This window comes from Homo sapiens, chromosome 1, assembly GCF_000001405.40.
Source record: "Homo sapiens chromosome 1, GRCh38.p14 Primary Assembly".
NCBI lineage: Eukaryota > Metazoa > Chordata > Mammalia > Primates > Hominidae > Homo > Homo sapiens.
Window position 1 is genome coordinate 168,073,333 of NC_000001.11, and position 17,177 is coordinate 168,090,509.

A 17,177-nucleotide genomic window follows, 5' to 3' on the forward strand; every position below is an offset into this window, starting at 1 on the left:
GTAGCATTTCATGAACAGAAGATTTAATTAATTCTGAGAAGTTGGGCTTACATTCTGGAAGAGGTGACTATGCATCAGTTAAATGAATTGAATTTGAGGAGAGAACAACTATTCTGCTTTCCTCATTTCAGAAGCCACTGTCACTTATTCTGTGACCTATCGTAAGACTCTTGGCCCTCATTTGTCTCTTTATTGTGTGCCTCTGAGTGTAAAAGTCTAACCTCTACTGCAAACTCCCTGATTTAAAGGCTGTGACATTTTTTTCTTAACTCTCTATTATCCCATCTTCTTTATAATGTGACAACCAAAAGAAATTTGAGTAAGAAGCCTGCCAACTTTGAGATAGGCCGTTACTGCTTCATCATGCTCTAACATGACAGGATAGGTTTCTTGAATATATTCAGTCATACTCAGGATTCCCATTCCTGAGCCCTACTTAAGTAGAATAGCAACTTCATGTTTTGTTCTCTCTTGAAAGTATCACACAATAAAAACAATGTAATTTTTTTTATACTAATATCCCTTAGGTAGCCTTTTATTGGTCAGAAATTCTTCTACTGTGTTTAAATTCCTTACTGATCTATAAAGGTCTATTCAAATCTTATTTTGTTCATTTATTTTATAAATATGTATTGAATACATATTTATAAAATAAATGAACAAAATAAGATTTGAATAGACCTTTATAGATCAGTAAGGAATTGAATACTTATTTGTATTCAATACCTATTTGTATAATTAAGGTTATAAAGGTTACACATACATTATGTCATTGGTTTGACATTGGATTAGAGTTGGCATAGAGGAGATTTAATCTAATTCACTTGGACAATTAAACAATTAAAAGGGACATATAGTCCCTTCAGTGTACTGTTCTTGGTGCTGTTGACCTAGGATCCAGTGGGAGCATTTAATCCTGTGTAGATAATAAATAAAATCTCAGGATTCAGTCTTCTCTTGCTGTTGACAGTGGGACTGAACTGTTTTCCTTATGCTTAACCTTAATATTTTCCATGTTACTATGTGGAAATGTTTCTGGGGCAGAAACATCCTAGTTCCATCTCAGTGATGGTAGTGATTTTATGCTGTTGCCTTCTTCACAATACCCTTATGTAATGTATCTTACCTTCATAAAACTTATATTCATTTATTCAGTAAACCTTCATTGAACATCCTATACTAGGCTCTGAGGATATAAAGATAAAAAGAAGTAACTCCTGCCCTCCAGGAACTCTCAATCTGGTCTGCAGGAAGACATGCAAACGACTATTACTGTAATTAGGATCATCATTATGAAGTTCATATAAGATATTCTAGAATGTGGAGGAGGGAGTTCATAATTCTGCAGATAGCCTGTTTGGAAATGTCCAGGAAAAGTTTCACCAAGGGTATAATAGTTGTATTGAGATGAGTAAACCTTTATAGCTAAAGAATTGGGCAAAAGTATCCCAAGCAGAGGAATAGCAAGTGTAATTCCTGAAAACTTGAACGAGCATACTGTACTCACCAGTTTGTAAGTTTATATTCACTTGAGTATTTAACCTAAATAAGCTCCTTGAGACCAGAAATTTACATCTGTTTTGGTCACCATTGTATTCTCAGGTTTTATCACAATGCCTGGAACATAGTATTTAATTTAAAAAAATCTTTTTACAAACAGAATTACACAAATCCTCAACAATCGTCCACATATTTTCTCTCACACAGCTGCCTCCTCACTCCCCTTTGCAGCACCTGATGTACCTCCTTAGAAACCTAGACTCCAAAGAACACTGTTTGACAACCACTGCAGTAGAACATAATATATCAAGATTTTAGGAGTGGGTTTCTTTTTTCATTTTTACATGTTTTAGAATAACATGCATAATCAAAGCTAATAATACTGTGTTTTCTTTACTCTTTTATTTGCCTCTAAAGACATCCACACATAGTGGTGAACTGATTTTTAATGCGTTTTAAATAAAAGGCATTGAAAAATATTAATAATTGTAATTACTAAAAGTATTTCTCTTTGCGATTCTCTTATCTGTGTTTCCAGACCGGTTGGAGGGTGACAGATCAGAAGGCTCTGGTCAAGAGAATGAAAATGAGGATGAGGAATAATAAACTCTTTTTGGCAAGCACTTAAATGTTCTGAAATTTGTATAAGACATTTATTATATTTTTTTCTTTACAGAGCTTTAGTGCAATTTTAAGGTTATGGTTTTTGGAGTTTTTCCCTTTTTTTGGGATAACCTAACATTGGTTTGGAATGATTGTGTGCATGAATTTGGGAGATTGTATAAAACAAAACTAGCAGAATGTTTTTAAAACTTTTTGCCGTGTATGAGGAGTGCTAGAAAATGCAAAGTGCAATATTTTCCCTAACCTTCAAATGTGGGAGCTTGGATCAATGTTGAAGAATAATTTTCATCATAGTGAAAATGTTGGTTCAAATAAATTTCTACACTTGCCATTTGCATGTTTGTTGCTTTCTAATTAAAGAAACTGGTTGTTTTAAGATACCCTGAATTTGACTTTTTATTTAATGCCTTGCTACTTTGACCCACAGTTTTCCAATCTCTCCTGTAGCATACGATGACTATTTTTCTATATTTTCTAGATTTAACAACCTTTTCCTTTTTTGCTTGTGTGGGATAGAATCACATAGAAGGACTTCCTTCATTTCTCCTTCCACGGTACAGCTGACCCTTGAGCAACCCAGGGGTTAGTGGCACCAGCCCCCCTCACAGTTGAAGATTCATGTGTAACTGTTGACTTCCCAAAAATTTGACCATTAACAGCCTGTTGATCGCAAGCCTTACTGATAGCATGGTCAATTAACACATATTTTGTATATTTTATGTGTTATATTCTATACTCTTACAATAAAGTAAGCTACAGAAAAAGTGTTATTAAGAAAATCATAAGGAAGAGAAAATATATTTACTGTTCACTAGGTGGAAATGGATCATCATAAAGGTCTTCACTGTTGAGAAGGCCGAGGAAGAAGGAGGCGTTGGTCTTGCTGTCTGAGGGATGGCAGAGGAAATCCACATATAGGTGGATCTATGTAGTTCAAACCTGTGTTGTTCAAGGGCCAACTATACTTTATTTTTACCTCCAGTCGTTATCGCTCCTGATCAGTGGAACCTCATTACACAAATAAAGGAGTTAGTCTTCAAGCAGAAATGACTGAGAGCATCATGGGTAGCTCACATAGTAGCATAAAGTAGCCCTGAAGGAAATGGCTTCTGGCCTCTCACTCCAAATTTTAAATTTCACTGCAAGTTATTGACCATCCAGTCTAATTTCTGCTCTTCCTTAACTCTAGTATCCACCTCCATTCAAGTCATCTACACCCAGACCTACATATCCTATAGGTTATGACCCAAAACTGCTCCTGCAGACCTAACCCTTCAATCATCCTCCCTCACTTCTACTAAATTTTCATTCTGCTGGTATCTTCCCCTCAGCCTATTCATGTGCTCATGTCTCTTCAGTCCATTCACAAAATAAATCTTTTCTTAACACCAAATTATTCTCTCTATACTTTCTGATTTCTCTCCTCCTCTTGTCATCCATATGAGCACAATACATGTCCATGGCTTCTCTTTGCTACTTTCTTGATATACAAAGCCACTTCCGGAACCCAGACCTGCCAGGTGGGAGTGAGGCAGTTAGTTCACTGCCTCATAATATCTTGGAGGCAAAATCGCAAGCATGGCAGAGTGTTGGGTTTAGTGGTCCGCGATTTCAAAGGCACGCTCACTGTCGCGCACACCCTCACACACACGCTTGGCCTTTGCTATTGTAGGTTTCTGGGATGGCACATCATTTCTCCCTTTTAGTGGGGAAAGTCTTTGAGCTTCCATTCAGTGGGCTCTTAGGAACTGTCTCACTTGTGAAGGACAGAAATAAACCCAGCAACTTCTCCATGACCTATAGTCCAGCCAGTAACTATCTTCACTATACCTCCTTGCCAGCCAGTAGCTGGAGAAGACATTGAATTACATGCTGGACTGATTATTGACCCCATCTTGAAACAGCTATTCAGTGCTGCCAAAATTATAACACTTACAAAAGAAAGAAAATGTTGGAGTTGTCAAGGTCAGAGCTACGGATCATATGACAGCTTATCCATCACCATCAGCACCAGCCTTGAGCTCTAGCTTTTGCTCACACTCTGGAAGTGGATGTGATATCATTGGTGACTATACATGGTGGCTGAAAGAGGCCAGTGCCAATGCAAATGTGATGGCTTGCCATGGTCATCTCAATCCTGGGCCCCTGTCTGTTGATGCTTTTAGTGTTTGTGCTGTTAACAGCTGCCCTTTTTTGTTGAAAGTAGTCAATCTCTTATTGTTTAATTAGCAGATAGTTGAAATGTTCCTATTATTTTCAGGAATCTAAATATCTTGGAGAGAAAGGACAAAGTCAGATACTGAGAGTAAGACATAATATCTCCTGGCTGAGCCACGACTGGTCTCACGGACCAGTCAGTAGTCAAGCAGAGCATCCCTCTTCCATATGGAGAACAAGGATCTCCTCCACAGCCAGAGACATCTGCTGCTGAGAAGGTTAGCTTTTTGTGTAGAGGAAATAACTGCAGTAGGTTATTACTCAGTAAGCTCAGTAGGTTCAGCTGGACTTCAACATCCAGCTTGACAAAGGCACATATGTATCCACATTAGGAAACGTCGTAAATGATCAAGAGGATAGAATCAGAGCTTTAGCCAAACAAGGTCACTTTATGACTTCCGAAAAGTGCAAGGGTCTTAGTTTCTGGTTTTCAGTTATGTACCTTGCTCAAGACACCTGACTTCTCTGGGTTTGTTCCCTCTCTAAAGGGGGTGGTCATATTTGCCCTACCTATGTCACAGGGGCTGTTAGGGCAAGATGAAGCCATAAGATTGACGAATTGTTATACAGGATAACTGAAAAGACGACTCTAAGCACACAGTATGTCATTCCTTCCACTGTAGTAAGACAGTAACAGGGATGTGTTATAGCGGGGTGTTGGGAAATTGACAGGACAGAGGATACTGGAGGACTAGTGGGGTGAAGGAGTAACTGTCAGGAAAAACAATAGAAGAAAGTCAAAATGGTATTCATCTGCTCTAGTGCAGGATGTTGATGGGGGAGAGTGGGGCTATGGGAACTCTACTTTCTCTCAGTTTTGCTGTGAATCTAAAACTGCTCTAAAAAAATTTTTTTTTAAAGTATTTGTTGGCCAGGCACGGTGGCTCACACCTGTAATCCCAGCACTTTGGGAGGCCGAGGTGGGCAGATCACGAGGTCAGGAGTTCAAGAGCAGCTGACCAACATGGTGAAACCCTGCCTCTACTAAAAATAGAAAAATTAGCCGGGCATGGTGGCATGTGCCTGTAATCCCAGCTACTCAGGAGACTGAGGCAGGAGAATAGCTTGAACCGGGAGGCAGAGATTGCAGTGAGCCGAGATCACGCCATTGCACTCCAGCCTGGGCAACAGAGCGAGACTCCATCTCAAAAAAATAAAAAAAGTATTTGTTAAATGAACTGGGTCCCCCACCCACAGTGATTTTGCAGTTTTGATGGTGTGTATTGCTCAGAAGCAGGGCAAGCCAGACAAGCCGTCAGGAGGCAGCAAAGAGAGAAAACATTCTACAGAGGCAGAATTCACAAGTGCCAGCTGCTTCCAAGATTGGGTGTGTGTCAGAGGACCCCAGAAAGCTCAGCAAACTGGACCGTAGGGCCACCATCCACTTGGAAGATGATTTCAGTGGTAGCAGGTAAGGGGGTCAGGAAAAGGTGGGTTTCGTGCCCCGAGGTGGTTCTGAGTCTCAATGGTAACGATAATCTGCCTCTTGCCCTCTTTGACTTTTGATTATGGGGTAGAAAATACATCTGTAGATGGATAGACAGGGCATAGCTCCCATAAAAACTCTGGGTTAAGAGTGTTTCTTGGGCATGGTGAGAAGTAGGTCATTTAAACAGTTATCTGAATTTAATTGCCTTGGAGGAATTTATGAAAATGCATGGATGAGTATTTGCAGGTGACTCTGGTATGGGCACTCCCCCACCAATTCTGCAGTAATCCACCCCTTTCTGCTCAGTCTCCCTCGCTTTAGCCCATGGGAAGGGAGGTTGACAATAGGGATATGGCTGCAGAAAATGGGAGAAAGGCAGAGGCACCCAACAAAGTCCACAGACCACAAGTCCAAGTACAAATTCACCATTTCCACAGTATACACATACCAAAAACATATTTAATCAGGTAAACAAAAATTCCAAATACATTGTTGCTTATTTATAAATATTGATTTATAATAATCCTAAACTTTTTTTTAACCTTAAAAAAATCATCCAAAGACTTCAAGTTAAATATATTTCAGGATTAGCCAGGGATTTTTGTTTTTCGAGGGTTGGTTTTTAACCACTTCTTCATCCAGCGGTCTATTATGAGAACACAACACAGTCCTCTGTCCCTTAAGCATGCAGGTTCCTTCTACTGCTCTCAGTGTGGTCTTGTCTGCCAGGCCTGTGATTCTCCCTAGGACTGTCTTTTCCTCTGGGAGGACTGACTCACCTGTGATTTGTGGTATTTCAAACTAGTGAAAAAAGGAAAAACAAAAGTGGCATTTGATTCCTAAGCTATTACTACTACCCAGGAAAATGCTTGCTGAGAGAAATGAACATAGCTTTGTGTATTGCATTCTAAAAATAACACCAAAATTGTGCTTTTGTAATCTTGTGCAGATTTGAGTTTGTGCTTTGATGTTTTCAAAGGAATCTTCAAGGTATTGGAAATACTTTGGAATCCAAAGTATTTGTTAGATACTTTCCAGTGAGTCCAGTCACTTTCCTTGGGCCTTCAGTTTTTTTTAGGTCTGGCCAGCAGATATTAATATCTCCCAAGATCCTTGGTTTATAATAGTTCTACATACCTAATAAAGCCCTGCTGGCCTGTTCTGTGATACTGATGACTCTTAACTATACCTCATCTTCCTTGACCTATAAGACTAGCTCCTTGCTTTTCTCATCCCCTTGGCCAAGACTTGGAGTTTGGCTTTGACTCTGGCTTAACTTACTTTGAGACCTCAGACAATTGCCCTGGATTCTGTGTCCCCTCTCCCAACCCACAAGGACAGTATGGCTCTGCTCCTTCTTATAGGCATATATGGCTAATCACAGCCATTCTCCTTTGCCTACAGTGAAGACGGTAATTTCCTCTCTCTCCCACAGGCTCCATCTGGGGTTCTGCATATATTGTGGGTAGCATCCCTGCCCTGCCTCTTAGGGGCTTGGAGGATTAGGGATTCTGTGAACCCAAGAGCCACAGCCAGGCAGTCACTCTGTCACTACAGGACAGAGCTGTCCTCAGCAACCAAGGGCATTTCTCAGGGAGAATGTCCTTTCTGGACTGTAAGGAAGGTCAAGCTGTATTTGTGCTATGATTTGGAACGTTACACCAGGCCCTGGGGATTTGATCATCTTTGATAGTCATTCCGGACAAATTAGAATGATTTTATCTTTGTACAAACAGGCCAGTAGCATAGAGGATAGACTTTTTCTTTTTTTTCTTTTTTTAGGCGGGGTTTCGCTCTTGTTGCCCAGGCTGGAGTGCAATGGCGCGATCTCGGCTCACTGCAACCTCCGCCTCCTGGGTTTAAGTGATTCTCCTGCCTCAGGCTCCTGAGTAGCTGGGATTACAGGCGCCCACCACCACGCGCAACTAATTTTGTATTTTTAGTAGAGACGGGGTTTCTCCATATTGGTCAGGCTGGTCTCGAACTCCTGACCTCAGGTGATCTGCCCATCTCGACCCCCCAAAGTGCTGGGATTACAGGCGTGAGCTACCACGCCCGGCTGAGGATAGACATTTTTAATAGAAAATCTCATTTTGGCTCCCTTAGACTTCTCAAGTTCCAGATGCTACTTAGCCTTTCCTCCCTGCTCTCTATTGCCTGCTCTTCCTCACCACATCCCTGCTTTTCTGAAAGTCCTTCCTTGCTGTGCAACAAATATGACAAAATTCCCAAGGCAAAAACCTTTAACACCTCCCATCTAGGATAACACTTATATTTTCAAGATTCTCACTTCATTATAGAGATCCCTATAAAAAGGAATAATACACCCTCCCCACAGAGATACTGTGAAGAAACACCAGTGGCTCAGCTTCAGCTGCACCCCAGGCATTGTGCTGCATGCTTTCCAAGTATTTCCTCATAGAATCCAGACAGTCACCCTGTGACGGAGGACTCCCTCAATCCTGTGTGTCTCCACATTGAAACAGATGACTAAACTTCCCTTCACAGATGAGGAAACTCATAAGTAGTGACTTGTTTGAAAACACCCATGTAATTGGAAGCACGGGATCTGAACTCATGACTTAACCATACCCACGTCTTCACCATCCTCACTATATCACACTTGCACTGGGGTAAAATGAGATAAAGCATTTGGAAGTACCTAACACAGCACCTAGCACATCATAGGCCCTCAAATGTCAAACAGGTCAGGCCCACAGAAGGCAGTCACATGCCAGCTCACTGCCTCCTCTTTATAGCCACATCATCCTCAGTTCCTTCCAGACAGGACACAGCCAGGGCTCAAGGCTGAACACATGTTGTGAATGTATCTTGTGGTCCATCCAGAGACATGTCTAATCTGCAAGTATCTAAGAGGCATATTGTCGGGATGGAAAATATTCAGGGAAATCTGAAGAGACTAACCATCTGTCATTGTATCAAAGCATTTTTCCTCCGTCTCCTGTCTCAACCCAAATTCCTTAGCCTATCTATTGCAAATATTTAGTCTCATTGGTTGTTCACTTGTTTACAGAAAGACCACATAGTAGCTCCTCAAATAAGAATCAAGGAACATTGGCACTAGATGGCCCTTGTCTTACACTCCTCAACTCTGCTTCTCCAGGAGCAGTGATCTACCTAAGATCACTCAGTGGCAATACCTGTGAACCTGGATGGGGTCATGCATGTAAGCAGGCTAGCCAGGTGGTCCTTGGTCACCAAGGCCGTGGACTACACGATAAGGGCAAAGGAATTCAAAACAAGAGTGCCCAGCCAGAGGCAAACAAGCTCTCAGGTTCATCCTTGGCTCTGCACAGCCACACCGCTGCCACCTAGTGTCTAAGGGCCTGAACTTCAGTCTTGGTGCCTCTGGCCAGGGAAATGGCTGTGTTGAGCTGTGTGTGTGCTCTGTAATGTGGGACTCCCAATGCCTTCTGGGTCAAAACAACCCCAAACCTGGTATCTGTGGCATAGCACAGGGACCCAATAAGGCGGAAATCTCAATGAAAGAGGCAGAGGTGGGCAGCAGTCCTAAATGTGGTCTTGTCAAAACCAGAAGACACAGGACTGAGTTGTTTAAGCTAACGAGTAGCCAAATGTCCCATGTGCCACTGTCCATGTGGTCCCATCAGGAAGGCTGCAGGCCTGCCACTGCATGGCAGTTTACAGCTAAAGAGCCTGGGTTTAGTGGGGGCACTTGGGGTTTCGACCTTCTGCACTAACGGCAGATATCCTCAGAAATGCTCTCAGGAACTTCAAAATGTGTGAAAATTCTCTTTTCCTTCTCCCCCACACCCCCTTCTCTCTTTCTCTCTAGCTGAATAAAGGCAAATTTGAATTCCTGAATATGGAAAATATGGTTCTAGCTGCCAAGCATCCTTCAAGACTTAGCTCAAACTGTCACTTACCTCATGGAGCCATCCCTAACTCCATATTTGGAAATACCCACCTCCCTCTGAAGCCACACTTCTTTCTATAACCACGACTTGACTTTGCTAGTTATTAGAATCGGTATCCACAGGTCCTGCTCCCTAAATCAGAGTGCACACTTTAGTGGTATTGCCTACAGAGCCTAGCCTGGTGCTTCGCATACACTGGATGTGCAGTGTCTGGTAGACGACTAAATGAATTGGACCTCAGTAAAAAAAGGGAAACACAGTGAATCATTTTGTGAAATGCAGTATTTCTAGATTTAGATTAAATTCTATAATAGCCCAGCTAGTGTGGGGTCAGTGGGGGAGTGGGGGGCTGTCTCAGGATTCTTTCCCTAGAGCCCAGTCTAGTACAGTCAGGGGAACATTCTCCAACCCTTGCGTTTCAAAGCCAAGCTGCTGCACTCAAGAATGCCTACACCTAACCAGCAACCCATCCTAGAGATAAAGGTCTCTCTGCCCTGTTCCACCTCTGTGCACACTAGTTGATCAGGAATATGGTCCCTTCAGAAAGTAGACAAGTGCTAGAAAAAAATATATACAGGGAATATATATAGAAAACGTGAACCACACGCAGACGTAGGAATGCCATCCAGTGATGGAAGCAGAGTGTCTGACCTGCACAGGTGAACCTGCCCTCTGCTCCTTCCCACTCCCATCCAGAAGCTAGGCCAGCGCCTGGCATCCAGGTGACCCAGAATAGTTGAGTTCAATCACCACAGGTAGCAAGACTCCAGGCCTCATGAAAGGTCTTTTACAAACTGCAGACCAGGGGACCAGCTAACCATTGGTTTCTGCCACACAACACAAAAACACAACCTCACCAGGAGCTAGCTGGGCCCCAAAGAAAAAACCACAAGGGTAATTCACTTTCTAGAACAGCTGCCTCTCAGCAACCAGCAAGATCTCCTTGGAATCTACCTTCTGCCAACCAAAGCAGAGAAGTCCTGAACTTATTTAGTCATGATGCAGGCCAAGGGCAGACGCAAGAGGAGATCAGTGGCTTCCCAAGTCATCACAGCAATTACTCCAGGACCAAACTTCAACTGCTGTTCCAGCACAAAGGGAGGAGAAGAGAGGTTTAACCATCCCAATCACATTCCTGTGCTTCCCCTTCTGAGATGGTGACCCTGCCCCTCATGCATCTTGGTGGCTGGCATTCTATCCAGATTGTGCTCTAATGGACAGGGCAGACAAAGCCACAGAACCTTGATCTGCCTGCACTTCACATGTGCATGAGCAACCACACTCCAAAGTTATACAAAGGTCGGTCCGTGGGTCTGCTTTTGTGTTTTACCTATCTCTGCTTTACAAATCCTGAGAACACCAAAGGTCAGAGCTGGAAATGATCTTGGAGACCATTCAATCCAACTCCACTCTGTTTTCCCACTTTACAGAGGACCTAGAAAGGTGACAAGATGTCCAAATGACATGTGCACACAAAGACAGAGCTGGGCCAATAACCCAGGTTGCTGGCTGTGGGTCCAGGGCTGCTTCTATCTTATTTATACCAGGCTTGTGATAATAGTAACTGTTGCTCTTGGGAGTGTGCCATGCAGAACTGAGGCCAGCTATTTTCATTGGTCACTCAAACATCACACATAGAATCTATTTAATGAGGCTTTCCCATGTGAACAAATTCCCTTCCATAATAACAGTTTCTCTATTTCCTGGCTGTGCTTGGCACTACAGTCCCATTCAGTCCGGTAAAACAGTGGTACGTCTTAAATGGATTTTTTTTTTAATTCTGGAAATGAAACACCTAGTACCTGCCCTTCCTCTTGTCTTTTATAGTGGTTTCTCCCTTTTGAAATACCAAAGAACTTGTCAGTAGGGAAGTAGGCAGGGTGGGCCAGTCTGCAAGAGGCCTGTGGCTGTCCCTATTAGCACCAGCAGGTGGCGCCACTGAGGACCGCTCCGAAGCGCTCTGCTCCTGGGTGCTTTCTCTGCGGACCAGTCCTAGAACTGAGGGTCCCACACTGCCCGCATCAACCATGTAGAGGCACCAGGACGGTCGCGTGTCATTAGGAAGAAGTGCTGTGTCATCCTTCACAGTACACTGGGGAGGGTTCTCCTCCTGAGGCATCTGGCACAGTGCACGGCTGGACTCCCAGCACACTGTGAAGAGGAGGAAATGATGCATGTGGGGGTCTCCTTCCAAGCCCTTCGTCTCTGGTCCTCCCATGCCCCACCTCCCAAAAAGCCACAGCCACATCTCTAGATTTTTTTTTGGTTTTTTTTTTGCTTTAGATGCTTCTGGTCCCATCACTGGGACCTAAAAGAAGCTCACATGTGGTCTCTGGAAATGCTGAAGCTGTGGACTGTAGACATTATTTTCAGTCCTTGTCCTGGTGGCTGCATACCAGATGCTGCTCCTTCCCTGTGTGTGGCCAGCTGTACACAGTGACATGCTCCCAAGGCCGCGGCACAGGCGGTGATGGGAACTCCTCCCCGGGCCAGCCTCTCAGGCTGCAGCCCCACGGCACCCTGAGGCCCTCATCTCTGCTCGGCAGCTAAAACATCTCCTTCTTCGATGCTCTGCAACTGCAGCCTCTGGCTCACAAGAGTTCTGCTGCCTCGGCGGCCCCCGAAGCCGCCCCCCGGGACAGTCCGTGCTGTAACCAAGACCCCTGGCAAAGCCTCCTCCCCAAATAAGTTGATTTTGGCTTCGGCCTCAATGGCTTTGGCCAAGCTTGCTGCGTAACTGTCCAAGGACTTGTGTACTTCAGCTTTCACATGAAGAATCGAGTTCTTGGCAGCTTCTGAGGGAGAAGGCAGAAAAAAAAGTCAGCTGAGGAGCCAGGCCTGGGGACTACCTTGGGGACAAGCCTGCTGCTGCTCCACCACCCCGGGGAGGGAGACAAACCGCAGTTAAGGGCGTGGGTTTCAAAGTTCCATTCCTAGACCAAAAGCTGACTCCCTGACTTCCTACCTGGGAAATCTTGGAAAAAGTATCTAATCTAGCCTCAGTTTCCTCATCTGTAAAGAGAAGATATTAAGATACCTCTTACTCCAAGAAGTTACTGTGATAACTAAAGGAGATAATTCTTTCTAAGATGTTTGGCCTATGTCTGGCCCATAGAAAAGACTTGATAAATACTTTCTACTAATGCTAATCAACATTTTTACATCTTTGAAAGAGTATTCTGGTCTTTGAGCTCCCTGAAGCAGTGTAACAAAACTTCCACAAACCCTAATGTCATCTCTCTCCTCTCCATATTTGCTCAGAGATTCCCCATGCAGAACCTCAAGGTTGGACGTGACATTACAGGTTCAAGCCCCCTCCCAGGATTAGGAGCCCTAAACTAAAACGAACAGAAGTGAGAGGGGGGAGCCCTTCAATTTCACACCCTGTTCCCTGTTATTATTAACTCATTGCCTATTTTCTCTGGACATTTCAGGGGAACAATTTATCCTCTCCTCCTTACATTTTCTGGAAAGTAGGCAACCTGTACCCCACTCTCCAAGAGGGAAAGACTGGAGGGACCTCCAGCCACTCTCTGCCCTGCCACTCACTCATGGCAGGGGAGGACCCCCTGGCAGTGCCTTGCTCTTGCACCACCTGGAGGGTGCCTTTGGAGCTGCCACACTCACAAAGCAGGACTGATGGGGCAAGTGTGGCCCTACGTGGGCTGGGGGGTTGGGGAGCATTTAGTTCATTTTTTCCTATAGAAAGGCAATATATTATAAAGCCCATGAGGCTGCTGGCCCAAGCTCTGTTCTATAATCTGCTTTGCCAGTGAAGCGAATGAACTGTTTTCCACCTCTGACCTCTGTAACAACCTCTCCATTCATTCTGAACTCAGGGAGGGGTGTGGAGAAGAGATGTGATTAATTATGAACCTAAAACTCTGACAGAGGCCATATTTATTTCCATATTCAACATTTCTGAAGAGCCTCCTTACATCGGACAGCCCCTGGACTCCACCAAATCCACAGCCCAGTCATATTGGTATCTGGATGGCTCTTGTCACTCTCCTAATCAGCATGTCTGGATGGGAAACGAATTCCAAGTTCCAGAGTAAACAACAGTCCCTGGGGGTGAGCGGGGAAGATATAGAGTAGAAAAATGTAGGGATTGGGCTGCGGCAGAACTCATTCTCCTCACAGGACCCAAGGGCCATCACCGCTGTAGGAGCGACGGACAAGCAAGATGGCAGCTTTGGCCTCCAGCAAAGCAGATACACTCATTGGGCCATTATCTCATTTTCCACAGGAGGAAACTGAGGCTCAGGGAAAGCAGGTTCAGTTATAACCATACCTCACCCAGGATCTGGGCTGTGTGTGTAAACACGTGTGGGTGTGTGTGTGTGTGTGTGTGTGTGGAGTTTGACAGCCATTGTTTGCCCAGCCTTCGATGCTGCTTGCTCTGAGAACTGGGTGCCTAAGGACTCAGGTGAGACCAACAGGGCTGGGAGTAACCAGGGAGTGAGCAAAGGGATGGAGCCCTGATATATTCCGGGATGGGAGCCAGCCTGAGCCAAGGAATTGTCCTAAGATCCTTTCCGTTTCCCTATGTTTTCTTGAAGCAATCAGTCACAGAAGCCAACCTTTGATTTGTTCCACTTCATCCTCAAATGTCACCGAGCTCCTTCTCTTGGGTGGGCAAGTGCAGTGAGAGGGAGGGTTGTCATCAGACGTGTAGTCCTCAAGCAGCATCATATCTGTCCCTAAAACAACGGGCAGATTGTGCATATGTAACTACAATCTAAAGTCCTCCTGGCCTCTTCTCCCCTCTCAACACCCCTTCCACCCCTCTTCTCCCGTTCATCCAAACCCATCATCAAGTGGAGCTGACTGCGCCGCAGCACGTGCCCAAGAAACACCCGCCTGTCATCCTGTTTCAGGGAGTTTGCAGACAGCCGGTGGGGCTGCGTCAGCCACACAAAAAATGCAGCCAAGTTATCTGAAGTAGGGGGTTATCTGCCTCAATGACCAGACCCCAGAAGCATGGCATCTGCCGGCCCAGCATGGAAGGGAAGTGGGGAGAAGGGCCGAGTAGAGGAGAGGGTCCTACTAAAAGGAACTTTATATTCTGAGTGATTCTTCCTACAGTCTGAATTTCTATCACCACAGTTAAAATATGTTGTACTAAATAAACATGTAAAGCTCCAAAATGTAGAGTTCTTTGGGGATCAAAAAATAATTGACAAATTTTCCCCTAAAAAGCAGGGAAATAAAGGGAGAAGGTCAGGGAAGTCCTACTAGAGATAGGTGGGCAGAGCAGGCAGAGGGAATGGGGCAGAGGGAAGGGAGGGAAGGAAGAGCTGAGATGGGACCCATCACTCAACAGTGCCCTTCCCCAACACTAGGACCAGTGTCAGATCCAGCCCCGTTCTTAGCTTCCAGCTTTCAATCCATAAAGGCCTTGAAGCTCAGAAAATAAGGAAGAAAGAGAAACCTGGAGCTCTTTAGATGCTGTTTCAGAGCACCTCGCAGAGGTGTGATTACCCGACATAGAGAAGAAACAGTCCTTTGGGAGGTAGAATATGGTGGTTAAACACACAGGCTTGGGTCGGACAGACCTAGGATCACTGGCAGGTTATTTAATGCCTCAGTATCTTTCCACGTCTGTAAACCTGGGGTCATCATTCAGTCTACCTCACGGAGTTGTGGGGATTTTGAGTTGAGACATGTAAACATCTAGCATAGTGCTTGCACACAGCAGGGGCTAAATTGAGGGCCATCATTCCTGATAAGGACACAGCGAACAAAGGGCAGGGCTGAGACTCACACCAGATCTGTGTGCCCCGAAGCCCATGCTCTTTCTTCTGCCTACAGTGCTGTCCCCTCACTCCTTGCGCCGGGGCACCTTCCACGTATGCTTCAGCTTTCGACATCGCATGCTCAGAGCAGTCTCTCTAACTCCCCTACCTATAGCAGCCCACGGGCTCCCACTCCACTAGGGCTTCCCCTTTCACAGCTCTCGACACATTCATCATCTTTCAAAACCAGTTTTATAGAGATGTAATTCACATGCCATGTAACTGACTCATTTAAAGTATACAATTCAATGAGAATTGTATACTTTACAATCTTTATATACTTTACAGTTCAATCTTTTATGAACTGAAGCCTCCACAACAATGGCAGTTCACCACTGTGCCCCCAGCATCTGGCACAGGGTCCGGCCAAGGCAGGAACGTGGCAAATAACTGCTGAATGAATGAATGAATGAATGAATGTTGCAGTGCCTCTGGATCCCTTTAGTTGTCTGAGAACAGGGAAGCAGACTGGGGAGTAACAGAGACTTTCCTTAAATCACATGAGGGACTCAGGCCTAGAGGGCACAGTGTGATCAGTGCTTCATATATGACTCCGTGTGGTGCGGGGCCCTCTGGGTTGCCAGATAAGGAATTTTCCAAGGAAAATTCTCCATGACTAAGAGAGGTCATGGCCTGGTCCCGGTGCCAACCCCAAGGCTCACCCCTGAGTTCCATGACACAGGCTTAGGCGCAGCCCTGGAGCACTCATGGGGAACAGGAAACCCAGGTCAAGTCAGAGGTGGTTTTTCAAAGGCTCCCAAGAGCAGAGAGATGGAGGAGCTGGGAGCGGCAGACCCACTGCCAGGCATGCGGCTTTGTGCAGCTTCAGCGGCACTCCCTCCAGGCGCCAGTGCACCAACAGCCAGCCTGGGGATGGGCAGCAGGTGTGGCCAGACACCCTGGCTCTTCCTCAGCAATGTGGAGCCATGAGTGTGACTCCCTGCCTCTGCCCATGCGCCTCTGCCCAGGGCCTCCTGTGGCTCTAACAGCGTGCTTCCAGCACAGGATACAGCATCTGCAGCTCCCCACCTCCCCGGTGCCATGACTCTGATGCCAGGAAGCCGACTGCTCAGACAAGGAGCAGCCCTGGGCTTGCAAGATCCTTTAGGCAGAGGCTAAAGGGAGGGCTCTGCAGGATTTGTGGTGGAGATGCGTTTCTACAGGGAGACTGAGTTTCATATCAAAGGACATGGAGTGAGGAGACAAGGCCAGCTGACCTTGCTGGAGGGCTCCTTCTGTGCCAAGAACAAGATGAGTGCTTCACATTCATTAAGTCTCTCAATTCTCACAGCTGCCCTGTAATGGGGATTAGTACCCCCATTTCACAGATGGGGAAAGTTGAGGGTTTAGGAGGAGATCATGCAACTTGCTTGAGATAACACAGCTCTTAAAAAGCCAACTGGAGACTGAAGACCAGGCAGGCTGACTGCAAGGCCCCTCTGGGTCAGTGGTTATTATCATCACAATCATTTCTCATTTTAATTTTGCAAAGGCTTTCACTCACTTTCAACCCCCTAATAACACCGTGCGGCAGAGAGAACAGGAACTGACAGCCCCATTTTGTAGAGGAAGAAACTGAGACACAGGAAAGCTGAAAAGTCAAAGCCACGACTGGAAACCCAGACTTATGATTCTCACCCCCCACCCACCGTGGGAAATGCCCCTCCGCCAGCTCTTGAGCCTGCACAGGGGAAACGCGACACGGGGGAA

At 45.2% G+C, this 17,177-nt stretch overlaps 2 protein-coding genes across 40 annotated transcripts in view, besides 2 other annotated features; one reads left to right on the top strand and one right to left on the bottom strand.

Annotated features, from left to right (window-relative positions):
• The window catches only part of DCAF6 (DDB1 and CUL4 associated factor 6), a 212,261-nt gene extending 209,757 nt beyond the window's left edge, over window positions 1-2,504 (top strand). For all 25 annotated transcript variants that reach the window (NR_146229.2, NR_146230.2, NR_146228.2 and 22 more), the window contains one exon: window positions 2,039-2,504. Coding sequence is in view for 22 of the 25 variants with exons in the window: in XM_047425194.1 (XP_047281150.1) it covers window positions 2,039-2,103 (65 nt within the window). In the remaining 3 variants the exon portion in view is untranslated. The remainder of the gene's footprint in view (window positions 1-2,038) is intronic.
• GPR161 (G protein-coupled receptor 161) overlaps window positions 6,210-17,177 on the bottom strand; it is a 58,126-nt gene continuing 47,158 nt past the window's right edge. For all 15 annotated transcript variants that reach the window (NM_001349635.1, NM_001349633.1, NM_001267609.1 and 12 more), the window contains 2 exons: window positions 14,253-14,372; window positions 6,210-12,464 (listed from right to left, as the gene is read on the bottom strand). In NM_001349635.1, coding sequence (NP_001336564.1) covers window positions 12,199-12,464; window positions 14,253-14,372 — 386 coding nt within the window. In that variant the 3' untranslated portion in view covers window positions 6,210-12,198. The remainder of the gene's footprint in view (window positions 12,465-14,252; window positions 14,373-17,177) is intronic.
• Window positions 8,959-9,253: a silencer, noted in NCBI's record as "tiled region #7850; HepG2 Repressive non-DNase unmatched - State 12:CtcfO". NCBI's record gives its function as "represses a minimal TATA promoter and a strong SV40 promoter by Sharpr-MPRA in HepG2 cells {active_cell/tissue: HepG2}" and the evidence as "EXISTENCE:reporter gene assay evidence [ECO:0000049][PMID:27701403]".
• Window positions 12,205-12,705: an enhancer, noted in NCBI's record as "H3K4me1 hESC enhancer chr1:168054775-168055275 (GRCh37/hg19 assembly coordinates)". NCBI's record gives its function as "activates a minimal SCP1, AML or CMV promoter by ChIP-STARR-seq in naive H9 embryonic stem cells {active_cell/tissue: H9 hESC(naive)}" and the evidence as "EXISTENCE:reporter gene assay evidence [ECO:0000049][PMID:30033119]".